This window comes from Homo sapiens, chromosome 9, assembly GCF_000001405.40.
Source record: "Homo sapiens chromosome 9, GRCh38.p14 Primary Assembly".
Lineage (NCBI taxonomy): Eukaryota > Metazoa > Chordata > Mammalia > Primates > Hominidae > Homo > Homo sapiens.
The window spans coordinates 125017305-125033092 of NC_000009.12; the positions used below are offsets into that span (position 1 = coordinate 125017305).

Below are 15788 nucleotides of genomic sequence, written 5' to 3' on the forward strand. Positions count from 1 at the left end.
TTTGGTTTTAATTTATATTTTTCTGATTAGAAAAATTTTCTTTGAATTAAAAAAAAGTGAGAAAAATACCGAGCCTTAAGATAGTATAACTATACAAACCATAAATGTTTCAAAATATTTCCATTTAGTATATTCATACTATAATTTCAAAAACGTTGTAGACATTTGCAAAATAATGGTCATAAAAGCCAAAAATGGAGAAATACCAGAAAAATTTAACAATAACAAAAGTGATTGATAGATGCTAGGATAGGATCCAAAATTAAACTTGTATAAAAAACACATCTAGAAAAATGTATTCACTGGTGTAATTTCCAGTAAATTTCATTTCTAGTACATTAAATCTCATCATCATGGTGCTACTCTGTCATGAAAAAACATTTGAAATTCACTTTTGACAAATTTACCCAAAAACAACTCCTGGCCAAGTGCGGTGGCTCACACCTGTAATCCCAACACTTTGGGAGGCTGAGGCAGGAGGATCACTTGAGGTCAGGAGTTCAAGACCAGCCTGGCCAACATGATGATGCCATCTCTACTAAATATACAAAAATTAGCCGGGTGTGGTGGTATGTGCCTGTAATCCCAGCTACTTGGGAGGCTGAGAGGCAGGAGAATCGCTTGAACCTGGGAGATGGAGGTTGCAGTGAGCCAAAATCATGACACTGCACTCCCACCTGAGTGACAAAGCAAGACTCTGTCTCAAAAAAAAACAAAACACAAAAAACACCAACTCCTCGCCCCTTTTTGCTTGATTGGAAAGTAGGACATATACATTTTGGAAACTTTATTATTATTATTAATTTTTGAGACAGAGTCTCGCTCTGTCACCCAGGCTGGAGTACAGTGGTGTGATCTTGGCTCACTCCAACCTCCGCCTCCCAGGTTCAAGTGATTCTCTTGCCTCAGCCTCCTGAGTAGCTGGGATTACAGGAGCATGCCACCATGGCTGGCTAATTTTTGCATTCTGTAGTAGAGATGGGGCTTCGTCATGTTGGCCAGGCTGGTCTTGAACTCCTGACCTCAAGTGATCTAACCACCTGGGCTTCCCAAAGTGCTGAGATTCCAGGTGTGAGCCACTGTGCCAGGTCAGAAATTTTGGAAACTTTAGAATGTTGTAAAAAATAAAATAAAAATCCCCTATAATTTGGTTATTTGGAGATAAAACTTAGATAGTTGTAACATTTCTTCCTCGTCTTTTTCCTGTGTGCATACATATAGACATTCTAACATATATGAAATAATTCTGCTTCCTGGCTCCATGGCAAGTTTATTTTCATTTACTGTATCACGAGTATCTTTCTATGTTATTAAAAATTCTTTCTAAGCTATTTAAATATCTGTAATATATTCCATATATGCACACAGCATAATTTAATCAGCAATTTCCTCACAAGAGGATGTTAGGATATTTATAAGAAAATAATTCTGTGATCATCAATAGCACTATTTTTCACAGTGAATTTTAAGCATAATTCCTTCACAATTCTTTACCTGATTATTACAATTACCAATAATGAGTGCGTCAGCCAGAGACAACTGTCCCACAATCATGCCCTGTTCCAGCAATGGGGCTCCTGTTTCAGCAAGGCGATTCGATGTGATAACAATGGTATTATCATCATTTAATACCATTACAGGATCCGCCTAAAGAAAAAAGCAATAAGAACTTAACGAATGGCCAAGACTAAATATCAATAGAGTAAGCTATTCCTTCTTCTTGACATATACACACAATAAAAACATAAACTACACGGTCATTTATTTATCAATAATTATGATTTTTCTTATCAAAAACTGACCTCAATGAAAGCTGCTACTTCTTGAAGCACCAAGTTCCATTCCACTTGATCTTCAGTATTAAATCGGTGAGTATAATCTTCAATTTCATCTGACAATTCCTGATTTTAAAAACATCACAAAAAAGGTTATTAAAAAACCCATAAAAACACACAGCCATATAGAACCATATTCCTGACAGAAACCGACATACTTACAAAATTTGATTATTAGCAATACACAGTCCTGATTATAACAAAAAACAAAGATGAAAACTAATAAATTTTCTTCAAAAGTACAAACTTCAGAATAACACCCATCAAATAAAGTCTTTACAGAGATCTACTTCCTATCAGTACTACATGAGCAATGAATTCATTAATGAAAGAATCAGAAAAGAGAAATTCAAAAATTTTAACAATAAAAAAAAATGAGGCTGGATGCAGTATCTCATACCTGTAATCCCAGCCCTTTGGGAGGTCGAGGTGGGAGGATCATTTGAGGCCAAGATTTCGAGAGCAGCCTAGGCAACATAGTGAGACCCTACCACTACAAAAAATTATATATTTCTAAAAATACTTCCTGACTTTATTTGGATTTGTATTATATGGTTTTTGGAAATATTTTTAATGGTAACTGGGTATAAAGGAAGGTAGAAAAGGAGAACAGAGAGCTACTTCTGGTGGCCTTGTCAAAACTGGCATGTTGAGCTGGGCACGGTGGCTCATGCCTGTAATCCCAGCACTTCGGGAGGCAGAGGCTGGCGGATTGCTTGAACTCATGAGTTTCAGACCAGCCTGGGCAACATGGTGAAACCCTGTCTCTACAAAAAACACAAAAATTAGCTAGGAGTGGTGGCTTGAGCCTATGATTCCAGCTACTCAGGAGGCTAAGGTGGGAGGACTGCTTGAGCCCAGGAGGCAGAGGTTGCAGTGAGACAAGATCATGCCACTGTACTCCAGCTGGATGACAGAGCGAGACCTTGTCTCAAAAAAAAAAAAAGAAAAAAAAAAAACCCCACAAAACCCAAAAAACCAACTGGCATGTTATACTTGATACAAAATTAAGTATGCCATTGAAACTATTGAATACAGAATGCAATCAGAATTTAATATGCAATGATTACAGGTATTAAGTGGGTCTGAAGACAGTTAACTCTTAATCACCTCAGTTAATGAAGGAGAGACTTTATGCAGACACTCTAAAGTGGTGGGAAAATGAAAATCATTTGCAAGGCCTTTGTAAAGCATTATGTACTTTTTCTTCACATAACATTTCAATTATTTTCTCTTAAACTAAGAATTTTTGTTTGTTTGCATTCCCAGCCATCCACTGATGGGCTTTGAAATGTAAAACATGCAGAAAGGACAAAAGCAAGGAATCAAGATAATTATCTCAGATTAGTGTATTTGTAACATGAAAAGAGTTGGAAAATTTTTTTATCATTACCCTTGTCAGAAGTTACTATACTTTGAATATTGTAATTATTGATATATCAAAATTATTTTAACCTAAAATCTGTTTTTTAAAAATAAGATCATCCATATACAACTAGAGATTAGAATTTGAACTATTTAAAGTGTATTTACCTTTACCAGATCCTTTACAACATCCATTTTGTTGAGAAGAAGACAAACTACTATAAATCTTGCATAATATCGTAACTTCTTAACTACCAATTCAGGTCTATGGAAGATAAATGAAAAATTACTCATTAGATTAAAAAAGAATGCTTTTTGATTTTTTTAATTTTCTGATAGCTTTTAAAACTCTTTCCCTCCTTTTCTGCACAATTATAAACATTCCCACATATAAGCATATAGTCTTTTTAAAATATTTCTTACTGATTTATTAAGCTGTTTACTCATATATTCATTCATTTAACAAGTATTTATTGAGAACTTAGATGCATCAGATACTGTTAATTGCTAAAAGCACAGTTGTAAAAAACTAGAGATATTCCCTTCTTCAAAGATCTTACAGACAGAAAAGAACTTAAAATATACAGGAGAGAGATAAATGCTTACAACACAACGGAATAATATAATGATAGGAGAAATAAAGAATGCTATTTGTGCCCACAGGACTAGATCTTGGGTGAGAAAAGGCTTCCTAAAGAAAGTAATAAATGTTTAAGTTAAGAATACAACGAAGCGTGGAAGACTACAGGCAGGAAAATATGATCTCTGTGCCTTTTACTTGATGTTTTTAGACCAATTACATTTAATGTCATTATTGCTTTGGCTAGGTTTATATCTACCACCTTGCTATTTGTTTCCTACTTGCTCCTTCTCTTGCTATGTTCCTCTGTTGTTCCTGTTGTGCTTTCTCTTCGGTTAATCAAATATTTTTTAGTGTTCCATTTTATATCATCTATTGGCTTCCTAGTTATACTACTTCTTTGTTATTGTTCTTTAAGTGATTGCTAGGAGTAACAACGTGCATCCTTTAACTTATCAAATGCCCTTACAATATATTTTATCTGTTCACACATAACACTTTACACTTACCAATCATCAATTCAAACCTGACATTTCCTCCTGCTTTCCATATCCTACATCACAAATAATAGCCTTACAACAGTGTATTTTTTGTGTGTATGTTCAACATTTTCCATAATAAAATTTTTAAAAAATTCTTTCGACCCATGAGTTACTTAGAAATGTGTCTATTGATTGACAAACTTATTGACTTTTTTTTTGTTTAAGAGATGGAGTCTTGTTATGTTGCCCAACTGGACTTGAACTCCTGGGTTCAAGGAATCCTCTTGCCTCAGCCTTCTGAGTAGCTGGCCTGCAAATGCAGCTACTGATTTTTTTAAATTATGTTTTATTTTTGTTTTTAATGAAATCGTACCATGGTTAGACAACACACACTTTATTGAACCTTGTATTAAACTTGTGTTGTGGCAAGTATCAGTTAATTTCACAGATTTTCATATAAGTTTGAAAATAACATATATACTGTTGCACACAATTTTAGGTACACTGGAACAAACTTGTTACTCAAATCTTATAATTTCTTGTCTTGATATATAAATTATTAGATATCATATATCAAAAATTCCCATGTACATCAGATCATTAATTTCCCCACTTTAAAAAAACACTTTGCTTTATCATAATGCTACGTTATTAGGTATATATAAGTTTATGATTTTTATATTTTCCTGAATTGTTCCTTTCATCAGAGTAAACCTCTATTCTCAATAATACTTTCTACCTTTAAATATACACACAGTATACACATAAGAAATGCGTATACACGTACACATTTCTTCCCCATAGTAGCTGTCTCATTATCTTTCTCTGTCTACCTTACATCTTTGAAGGGTTTATTTATTTAAAAGAGACAGTCTTGCCCTATTTCCCAGGCTGAAGTGCAGTGGCACCATCATAAATCACTGCAGCCTCAAACTCCTGGGCTCAAGCAATCCTCTCACCTCAGCTTCCTGAGTAACTAGGATTGCAGGTGTGTGCCACCATGCCTGGGTAATTTTTTTATTTTTATTTTTTGTAGAAATCGGGTCTTGCTACGTTTCCCAGGCTGGTCTTGAACTCCTGGCCGCAAGCAATCTTCCCATCTTAGCCACCCAAAGTGTTGGGATAACAGGTGTGAGTCACCGCTCTTGGCCTCGAAGAGTCTCTTAAAAACAGTATATTATTGGGTTTTTCTAAGAGGCATACTGATAATCTTTGTCTTTAACAGGGAAGTTTAGATCATTTTTACTTACCATGATTCGGATTTGTTTCTATTTTATTATTTTGTGCTAATTATACTTTTTGGAGTTTATTTTCCCTTCCTGCCTTTCATTGTAATGATCATCATTTTGTTACTCACTTTCCCCCTCTACCTCTTCTGAAGTTACACATTCTAATTATAGTTTTCTGAAAATATTAACAAGTAAACTTTACTCTATGTTTCTTCTGAAGAATAAATGGATATCAGAATGGTTTAATTCTTTATCCCCTTTCTTCTTTCATATTATTGTTATCTAGATTTGGCTCCATTTTATTTTAATAATGTCAATCAGCCATTGTTATGATGATTACTGCCCCATCAAATCGATGTTTTAGAATACAAGGGGATAATTTTTTCTTACCAATCCTTCTTGTATATCATACCTTCCCCTTCTAGTTTCAATTTTCTTCTTCCTTGCTCTTTTATGTCACCCAAACCAATTGCCCCACCCTCCAAGGTCACCACAGCCATGGGAAAATGAACTAGGGACTTCCTTACTTTCTTGACAACTAAGTTTTCCATTTAAAAGGATGATTGTCCTATTTTATCCAGCATTTCTAGGTGTTTAGTATTTCAGGTTATCTAGCCTATCATATTGTCGAAAGTGGAATTCAAAACAAAGAAAATTAGTAGAAGGATGATGTCAATTCAAACTTGAAATATGAATGACTTAATTCTGTTACTTTTTTGATTAAAAAATAGGTTCTATGAATCTGTATCATGGATTATACAACCAGCAAACCTTCTACAAAGGGCCAGATGGTAAATATTTTAAGCTTTGCAGGCCACATTTGGTGCCTGTAGCATATTCATCTTTTCCCTTTTTACAACCCTTTGAAAATGTAAAAAAAAAAAAAGAAAAATTCTAAACTGCCACACAGTACAAAAACAGGCCATGGGCCCAATCTGGCATGCAAACAGGCCATAGTTAGCTGATCCTTATATTCAATAAGCATACAGAAGTGGGTGGGTGCTTTCTATTTTGGAAGCCACTGTGATGAACTGCAGCAAAGCACAGATTAAATGCGTCAGTGCTGTCCACTCATACATAAGAGGCCACCTCAATCAAGCCCGATAACCTGAACCACAACCCCTAGCCTACCAACTGACTCCATATCAAACTGCAGAAAAAAGAGTGTGACTCACTGCAAGGGTCCACATCAAGCCCTCTTTATCATCAGTGCCAAAGCCTTCAATTTTACATTCATATTTCCCACTGAAAAAAATACTGTCACCACTTATGTTGACATCAACATAACTGGAGTTTATTTTCCTTTCCTGCCTTCTATTGTAATAATCATAATTTTATTATTCACTTTCCCCCTACCTTTTATTGTTTCTTCTGAACAATAAATGACATGTTGACATGTTGTCAACGTCAACATAAGTGGTGACAGTATCAAGTTTTGTCCAGTGGGAAATATGAATGTAAAATTGAAGGCTTTTTATGAAGTTTTTTTTTTTTTTTTTGAGACGGAGTCTCACTTTGTCACCCAGGCTGAGTGCAGTGGCGCCATCTTGGCTCACTGCAACCTCCGCCTCCCCGGTTCAAGCGATTCTCATGCCTCAGCCTCCTGAGTAGCTCGGACTACAGGCGCGTGCCACCACGCCCGGCTAATTTTTTGTATTTTTAGTAGAGACGGGGTTTCACCATGTTAACCAGGATGGTCTCGATCTCCTGACCTCATGATCCGCCTGCCTTGGCTTCCCAAAGTGCTGGGATTATAGGTGTGAGCCACTGTACCCGGCCATTTTTTTTAAGCTCTTAACAAACTTCTGGACTCCAGAATTCTAGCCTTGTCCAACCTGCTAGGCTCCCTACTTACAAGACACTGACTCTTTAACTATACATTTGCCTAGGAAACTCTGTTCTTCCAGGTGGCTCACCGTAACATCTCCACAAAACCTCTTGGGTATTCAGAATCTTCACCTTCTCCATATCCAACCAGGTTCAGCTTTGGCCATTTGCAACAGAATTGGGGTGTGCAGCTCCTAGGAGGAGTGGCTGTATGTAATATCTCCTCTCCTAGGTAGGATGGACCCATGGAATGAGATGTTCTGGGAGTGGTCTATGCTTAGTGACAGACACTAACCTTGAGGTTGCTGGAACAAACTACTTATTCCTCCTGGTCTCGACATAATCCTTAGCTGTCAAGACAGTGCAGAGAGAACTTGTTCCTTTTGAGGAGTGAAGATTTTTGCCTTTTAAATGAACTGTGAAATTGTGGAATACTTCCTTATTGGTTTTCTCTCCTGGCTCTTGATTTTAGCAGCTGTTGCTGATTGCAATCTTGACTAGCACTCTTACCCTGTGTAAACTAAGAAACAACCTACAAACTGAACAAAGCCCCTCCTAACTACACACAGCAAGGTCAAGGTTTTGCACACCAGATTGTCCTTTGATTCTAATTTACTGGCACAAAGCAAGAGTTTTTGTCATCCTGATTCCAAATAATCCTACTTCTAAATAATATGCTCTGATCTAGAAAACTGCAAAGGAAAACAATTCAAATTTGATGTTTGTTATTAAGGCATAAAATTATGGCAATAAATCAAACTGTTGGGTATTAAGGTTAAAGCCAATTTCCCTTTTGTCAAATTAGAAAATGCAGAAAAGTAAATTATACAAGGTGTTTTGCTATTACTTAAAATAGTTCTCTGCTTATATGTATTTTTAATGCCGATAAAATGTTATACAGCTCTTTCGCATTTTTTAAGATATAATTTATCTCGCCAAGAATTTTTTTAAAAATTAGAGTTGGAGGAAATATATCTGTAGTGAAAATATGTGAAGCAAACTATAGGACAACCTAAGGGAAAAGTAACTGATGGAACTTCTGATGTAAGGGGATGACAAAAAGATATGAAAAATGTACACTCCAGCATCTGCACCCCTTACATGTGCCATGCAAACGCCCCTAGACAAGTCTGAACAAGACATGCAAGGAAATTAAGGAGATTTACAAGAGTGGGGCTTTCCCCAAAATGTCACTGTTTAGTTGGAAAGCTTACAACAGTCAACCACAAAGTGTTCTTGAGAAAAACATGTCAAAACTGTTTTCTTCTATTGCTAAGAGAATATAATCTTTTCACCATATAAAAACTGTGAGTTGTGTTGCTGGGGTAGAGAGAATATTCAGACCTTCTGTGCCTGAACTTTCTCATCCAACAGTTCCCAGAATACTAACAAGAAAGATTCTCCAGAAGATCTCTGATTTCTTCCACAATTCCATACTCATCTGGAAGTAATCAAATCACAATCCAGGCTGGGTGTGGTGGCTCACGCCTGTAATCCCAGCACTTTGGGAGGCCAAGGCGGGTGGATCACTTGAGGTCAAGAGTTGAAGACCAGCCTGGCCAACATGATGAAACCCCATCTCTACTAAAAAATACAAAAAAATTAGCCGGGGGTGGTGACACAAGCCTGTAATCCCAGCTACTTGGGATGCTGAAGCAGGATAATTGCTTGAACCCAGGAAGTGGAGGTGGAGGTTGCAGTGAGTTGAGATCGCACCACTGCACTCCAGCCTGGGCGACAGAGCAAGACTCCACCTCCAAAAAAAAAAAAAAAGAGAGAGAAAATTCAAACAGCATTAACAGACTATTCCCTGGTCCTACATGACAGTTGTCACCAGGCTTTTGAAGAGATATGAATTAAGATTACACAGGCTAAAGAATAAATGTTATTAGCTAAGCCTTGTTTTGGAGTCATTTCTTTTCTATTAAATCTGTGTGAAGCCAATCTCTTGTAAAACAATAACCCAACCCTCCTTTGGCATTGTGACATCTGTTAAACATCTTTGATATTTATTGCTTAGGTAACATAAACTTCTCTATGCTTTCGAAGGTCTATTACATAGCAGGCACTCAATAAAGCCTGGTAAACGAGTACACGTTATAAAAATGTATGCTTTTCCACACAATTTCTACGAAGATTAAGACTGAATGTTTTATCCTCATCTTTCTAAAAACATAGCAGATACATACCTGTCCTCTTTATTGACTTGAGAATAATATGATCTCTGTCTGATTGCAGAATAGAAGGAAAAAGCCTCATTCAGATAGCTGGTTTCCGATGTGCGTAAGCTATGAGAAAAAATATATTTTTAAATATGACAGTGTCAGAGACTCTTCACCATGGTAAATACTTGTTCTATATACCGCTGTATTCCTCTGTGGCACGGGGTGCGGGGGTGGGAATGACTGTCCTAAATTTGAATCGGCAAGACAATAATCATATCACCCTTAAAATGTATAAAAAATAATAATGAAATTTTTTTAAAAACCTCCTCGCTGCATCCAAGCCTTTTTTGATGCCAACCCATATTACACATTATCCTCATTCTTTGAAGGGACTCTCCAAACAGCATTCCATCCAGTGAAATCCTCTCCCAGGACTAGGCCACTTCCTCAAATCCATACAGTCCTTTGGCCCATTTCTTTAATTTCTGTCCTCACAGAACTGAGGAATGCACTAATCCATACGAATCTTCAGGGGATGTTAATGAATTATGTTTTACAAGGGACTTTTTAAGAAAACATTTCTACCTGAGAAAACACTTCTAGTTTTACAAGGGACTTTTTAAGAAAATATTCTACCCAAGAGAGTGATTTTAGTGGTGGGAATTTGGAGCGGTATGCCAAAATGTAGGAAATGGAAGAAGTTTTATTGCCTTTTCTTTTCTTTTCTTTTTTCTAATTTTTTATTTTTTGAGACAGAGTTTCACTCTTGTTGCCCAGGCTGGAGTGCCAATGGCATGATCTCGGCTCACTGCAACCTCTGCCTCCCAGGTTCAAGCAATTTTCCTCCCTCAGCCTCCCAAGTAGCTGGGATTACAGGCACCTGCCACCACACTTGGCTAATTTTTTTGTCTTTTTAGTAGAGACGGGGTTTCACTAGGCTGGTCTCAAACTCCTGACCTCAGGTGATCCACCTGCCTTGGCCTCCCAAAGTCCTAGGATTACAGGCGTGAGCCACCACGCCCAGCCATTTTATTGCCTTTTAGATTACAAATGGTCCAAGCCTTTTTTATTGTATACCTGATTATCACTTCAGGATGATGACATTTAGATTCCTAAAAGGACCCTTCTTGTTTTCTGAACTCAGGGATGGGACTATATAGATGTTAGTGCTCTAAGGATATAATAAAAAATATCTTTCAAACATATCCTGCAAGTATGAGTTTTTTAAAGTATCCTTCTGAAAACCATTCATTCACATATACAAGTTATAATACAATGCTACACATTATTAAGACAAGTGAAGCTGCAAGAACAATAAATCCTTTAGTATTAATCGTTTATCTAAAACCAAGATCAAATTTTTAAGTTATAAATGAGTCTGACCAAATGAAGTGTTTGGGAGGCAAGCCTTTAAAACAAATAGTACTTTGACTATGGAAGGTTATTGCACAACATTGTCTTGATCAATCTGGTCCGAACTACTAGAGTTTCATTTGTAACTCGTGATTTTCATGCCTAGCAATGAGTATACTATGTATGTATACTTCTGCATGCTGTGTTTTAATCAGACAACACTTTACTCTTTCCATGTGTAATTTACTTACTAATAATGATAGTATAGCTGCCCAATCTTGGAAGCAATTTCTCCTATTTGCCAGCGCTTCAAGCCATACCGATTATCCAAGACTTGTCTGTTTTATATAGGATACAAGAAAATAGAAATGAGTCTATAAATTCCAAAACTAATCAAATCTGTAAATTCAATAGGATAAAATACCATCCAATTCAGCAAAGCTAATGAATTTTTCATTAGATTTCAATGTAGTCATTCCATTAAATTTAAAAAGCATTTATTAAATGTCTATTTATAAGTTGAAATATAAAAAGAAACTACTTTGGCCAATAAACATATATTTTAGAATGAAACCATAAATCATCCTACCTATGCTCTAGCTGATCTGAACCATTCCACATATAATATTGTCTTTAAAAATCGGACAAGAACATTACTCTTTTTTTTCCTTTTTTGAGACAGAGTGTGGCTCTGTTGCCCAGGCTGGAGTACAGTGGCATGATCTGGGCTCACTGCAACCTCCGCCTCTCAGGTTCCAGCAATTCTGCTGCCTCAGTCTCCTGAATAGCTGGGATTACAGGTGTGCACCACCATGCCCGACTAATTTTTATATTTTTAGTAGAGACAGGGTTTCACCATGTTAGCCAGGCTGGTCTTGAACTCCTAACCTCAAGTTATCCACCCACCTCAGACTCCTAAAGTGCTGGGATTACAGACAGGAGCCACTGCACCCAGCCTTATTTTATTATTTATTTTTATTTATTTATTTACTTTTTTGAGACAGGGTCTCTCTCTGTTGCCCAAGCTGGAATGCAGTGATGCAATCTCTGCTCACTGCAACCTCCCCCACTTCAGGGTTCAAGCGATTCTCGTGCCACAGCCTCCTAAGTAGCTGGGATTACAGCTGAGCACCACCACACCTGGCTAATTTTTGTGTATTTTGTAGAGATAGGGTTTAGCCATGCTGCCAAGGCTGGTCTCAAACTCCTGAGCTCAAGCAATCCTCCCACCTTGGCCTCCCAAAGTGCTGGGATTACAGGCATGAGCCACCATGCCTGGCCATACATTTTAAGATCTTAAATAAATAGGAAAGAAATAAATTTGTTTTCATTTGGGTTATAAAGATGAAATATGTTATTTTAAAAGCACCAAGATTTACCTTTGCTTTGTTGGTGAAAAAAAAGAAAAAGCACCAAGACAAAAAGCACTGAAGTAGTGAAGATAAAAACTGTGACTAATACAAAACAGGCCTTCACTCTCCTTTAACTATAAAATTCATTTACCGATGCTGCTGCTGGAACTTCCAGAGTTTGGTGTAAACATCAAAAGTTCTTCCAAAATAGGACTGCCACTGCTTCTGTCCATATTGTGGCAAATCTCTGTAATAGTAAATGAGTATGTATTAATATTAAACTTCTTATTCTATTTGGAAATTATGTCTTGTGATGGTACAAACCAGACAGATGAAAAATGCTTGCATTCAGGCTTTCTTTTTTAAAAAAGTTACACTTTTTGGAGCAGAAATAATTCTATAACTAGGGTCCAGGACATGCTCTTTTCCTATTCTCCTCCCTACTTCTCTGACAGGTCGTTCTTAGTGTTCTTTGCAGATGCTTCTCCCATGAGGTTTCTGGTCCTCTCTTCCCTCTCCCTCGGTGATCTTATTCACACTCACTTATATACTGACAACTTCCAAATGTTTATCTTCAGCTAAGAACTCAGCTGAATGTTTGAAAAACACTGCTTTAGAAAATATACCTAGAAATCGATATGTAGATGGTATTACTGTTCTGCACTATTCTATCCTCTCCCTATAAGATAAATATACATCCCTGTCCTTGAACCTGGTGACTTATAGTACAGTCTTTGAGAGGCAAATACTCCCTACCATACAAACATTGGGCCTGGCCGTATTAACTTCCTTTGGCCAATGAAATATAATTGTAAGTTATTTATATCATATCTTAGGAGAAAATTAAGAGCACTGAGTGTTTCAGCATTTTCAATTTTCCCTCTGACCTAAGACAAAGATAGGGCTGTTCTTCAGCCTGGAACACTGAGTAAGACACATTTAACAGTGCCCCAAAACCACAGACAACTTGTAGCTAACATGGGAGCTAGAAACACATCTTTACTGTAGGAAGGCACTACAATTTGAGGGTTGTTACAGCAGCCTTACTTCGGAAAAGCTAGTCCAGAAACTGGTAATAGGAGTACGTTATTGCCATAACAAACATGTAACATATGTGACACCTGCAATTGCGACTGAGTAGCAAGTAACTGTTACTGAAGGCTGGAAACAATGATGACCTATATAATGCAATGGTAACACTGCATTTGCCTGAGAAAACTGAGAAAGCAGATAATACGATTAATGAACTTGTTGATTTATACAAAGAGGTTGGGAAACAGTATGTTGCTAGCCCTGGATGCTATTAGCTACACTTAAAATACAATGAGAAAAAGATGAACTCAGAAAAGAATTAGCTGCAAGCGGAGTTGAAAAGAAAAAGAGAAAATCCACAAATTCAAGAACTTACAAGATTGAAAGATACAACAATTACTAATGCATAACTGTAAAATATATAATTGAGAAATGCTATCCATAAATGCCAATTAAAATTCAGCCTCATCTTCGAGGGCAAAACTTCTTCATTAAAGTCTGTGAATAGATGGAGATGGCCCCAAGTACCTTTTTTCAGTGGGACAAAACAGATTTGGGAAAGGAATTTAAGAATTTGGCTGTCTTGTAGAAACCTTATAAACTCAAGGTATCTCTAACAAAGTCTAGAAGACAGTCGTGTCTCAAAGAATTTAGGGTATGGCTACAGGTACATGGAGCTAACTTGAATCAAATTATAAAGAGTCAACTACATTTCACAAGATTTGTACTATTGAGGTCACTTTTTTTTTTTTTTGAGATGGAGTCGCGCTCTTGCCGCCCAGGCTGGAGTGCAGTGGCGTGATCTTGGCTCACTGCAAGCTCCTCCTCCCAGGTTCATGCCATTCTCCTGCCTCAGCCTCCCAAGTAACTGGGGCTACAGGTGCCTGCCACCACGCCCGGCTAATTTTTTGTATTTTTAGTAGAGACAGGGTTTCACTGTGGTCTCGATCTCCTGATCTCCTGATCCACCTGCCTCAGCCTACCAAAGTGCTGGGATTACAGGCATAAGCCACCACGCCCGGCCACTTTTTTAAAAAAATAAAGGAGCAATAAATTCATTGAATTTAGTGGTAAATGAATAAATCTAGAGATCAATTTGGGGAATTCGTATTTTTTCTAATTTTGTCAATAGCATTTCTTTCCATTTATGGTACAAACATTGTCATTAAATACATTTATAACTCTTTCCATAAAGGTCCTATATTTCCTGGTTCACATTACTGTAAGGTCTCATATTTTCATTGTTTTTGTGAAAGGTATCTCTATTTTTTAAGTTGTATCTTTTAATTTTTTTATGATGGAAAATTTCAAACATACACAAAAGTAGAGAGAACAGTACAATGACCCCTAGGTACCATCAGCAGATTCACAGCTTATCAATTTAGAGCCAGTCTCTTCTATTTAGGGTTGCCAGATAAAATACATGTTCTTGTTTCTGGGCCCCCTACTCCTTTCTCTAAGTTTATCTGTCTACCTTTGTTGTGCTAGTTCAACTCTGTCTCAATCAGTACCCCTATGACCACCATTAGCACTATTTTCAATTAAGAAAAGAAGTACAGGCTATATTTATATTGATCCCTATAACTAAAATGCCTATAGAAATATTTAGAACAGAGAAAACACTCAAATGTTTAATAGTAAAATGAATATATATATATATATATATATATATTTTTTTTTTTTTTTGAGATGGAGTCTCTATCTGTCACCAGGCTGGAGTGCAGTGGCGCGATCTCGGCTCACTGCAACCTCCACCTCCCGGGTTCAAGTGATTCTCCTGCCTCAGCCTTCTGAGTAGCTGGGACTGCAAGCACACGATACCACGCCTGGCTAATTTTTGTATTTTTAGTACAGACGGGGTTTCGCCATGTTGGTCAGGGTGGTCTCGAACTCCTGACCTCAGGTGATCCACTCGCCTCGGCCTCCTAAAGTGCTGGGATTACAGGTGTGAGCCACCATGCCCGGCCTCTGGTTAGCTTTCCTTTTGCACCATTGGGATATCTTGCTATTGGTGTCACCCACCTCGCTGTTGGGCAAGGTATATTGTGAAGACACTCAATGGAAGGAGAAAACCTGTTTACTAATATTATGCTTTTTTTTTTTTTTTGAGATGGAGTCTCACTCTGTTGCCCAGGCTGGAGTGCAGTGGCGCGACCTCAGCTCACTTCAACCTCCGCCTCCTGGGTTCAAGTGATTCTCCTACCTCAGCCTCCAAAGTAGCTGGGATTACAGGCGCCCGTCACCACGCCCGGTTAATTTTTGTATTTTTTTAAGTAGAGAAGGGGTTTCCCCATGTTGGCCAGGCTGGTCTTGAACTCCTGACCTCAGGTGATCCACCCACCTTGGCCTCCTAAAGTACTGGGATTACAGGTGTGAGCCACTGCGCCCAGCCTACTAATATTATTCTATCAAGTGCTAATAATTATGAAGGCCATATAAAGTAATGTGAAAACTGATCTCTTCAATTAATAGGATTATTGGTTGTAATAGACAGAAAATATGATCACATATGTAGAAAAAACTGCAAATAAGTACTAAATTACATGACACTGAATAAAAGTAATAAGG

The 15788-nt window shown here is 37.4% G+C and overlaps 1 protein-coding gene across 6 annotated transcripts in view; it reads right to left on the reverse strand.

Annotated features, from left to right (window-relative positions):
* Nucleotides 1–15788, reverse strand: part of SCAI (suppressor of cancer cell invasion) — a 200921-nt gene that overhangs the window by 74697 nt on the left and 110436 nt on the right. For all 6 annotated transcript variants that reach the window (XR_007061282.1, XR_007061281.1, XR_007061283.1 and 3 more), the window contains 6 exons: nucleotides 12340–12435; nucleotides 11088–11174; nucleotides 9508–9606; nucleotides 3369–3465; nucleotides 1803–1901; nucleotides 1495–1647 (listed from right to left, as the gene is read on the reverse strand). Coding sequence is in view for 2 of the 6 variants with exons in the window: in NM_001144877.3 (NP_001138349.1) it covers nucleotides 1495–1647; nucleotides 1803–1901; nucleotides 3369–3465; nucleotides 9508–9606; nucleotides 11088–11174; nucleotides 12340–12435 (631 nt within the window). In the remaining 4 variants the exon portion in view is untranslated. The remainder of the gene's footprint in view (nucleotides 1–1494; nucleotides 1648–1802; nucleotides 1902–3368; nucleotides 3466–9507; nucleotides 9607–11087; nucleotides 11175–12339; nucleotides 12436–15788) is intronic.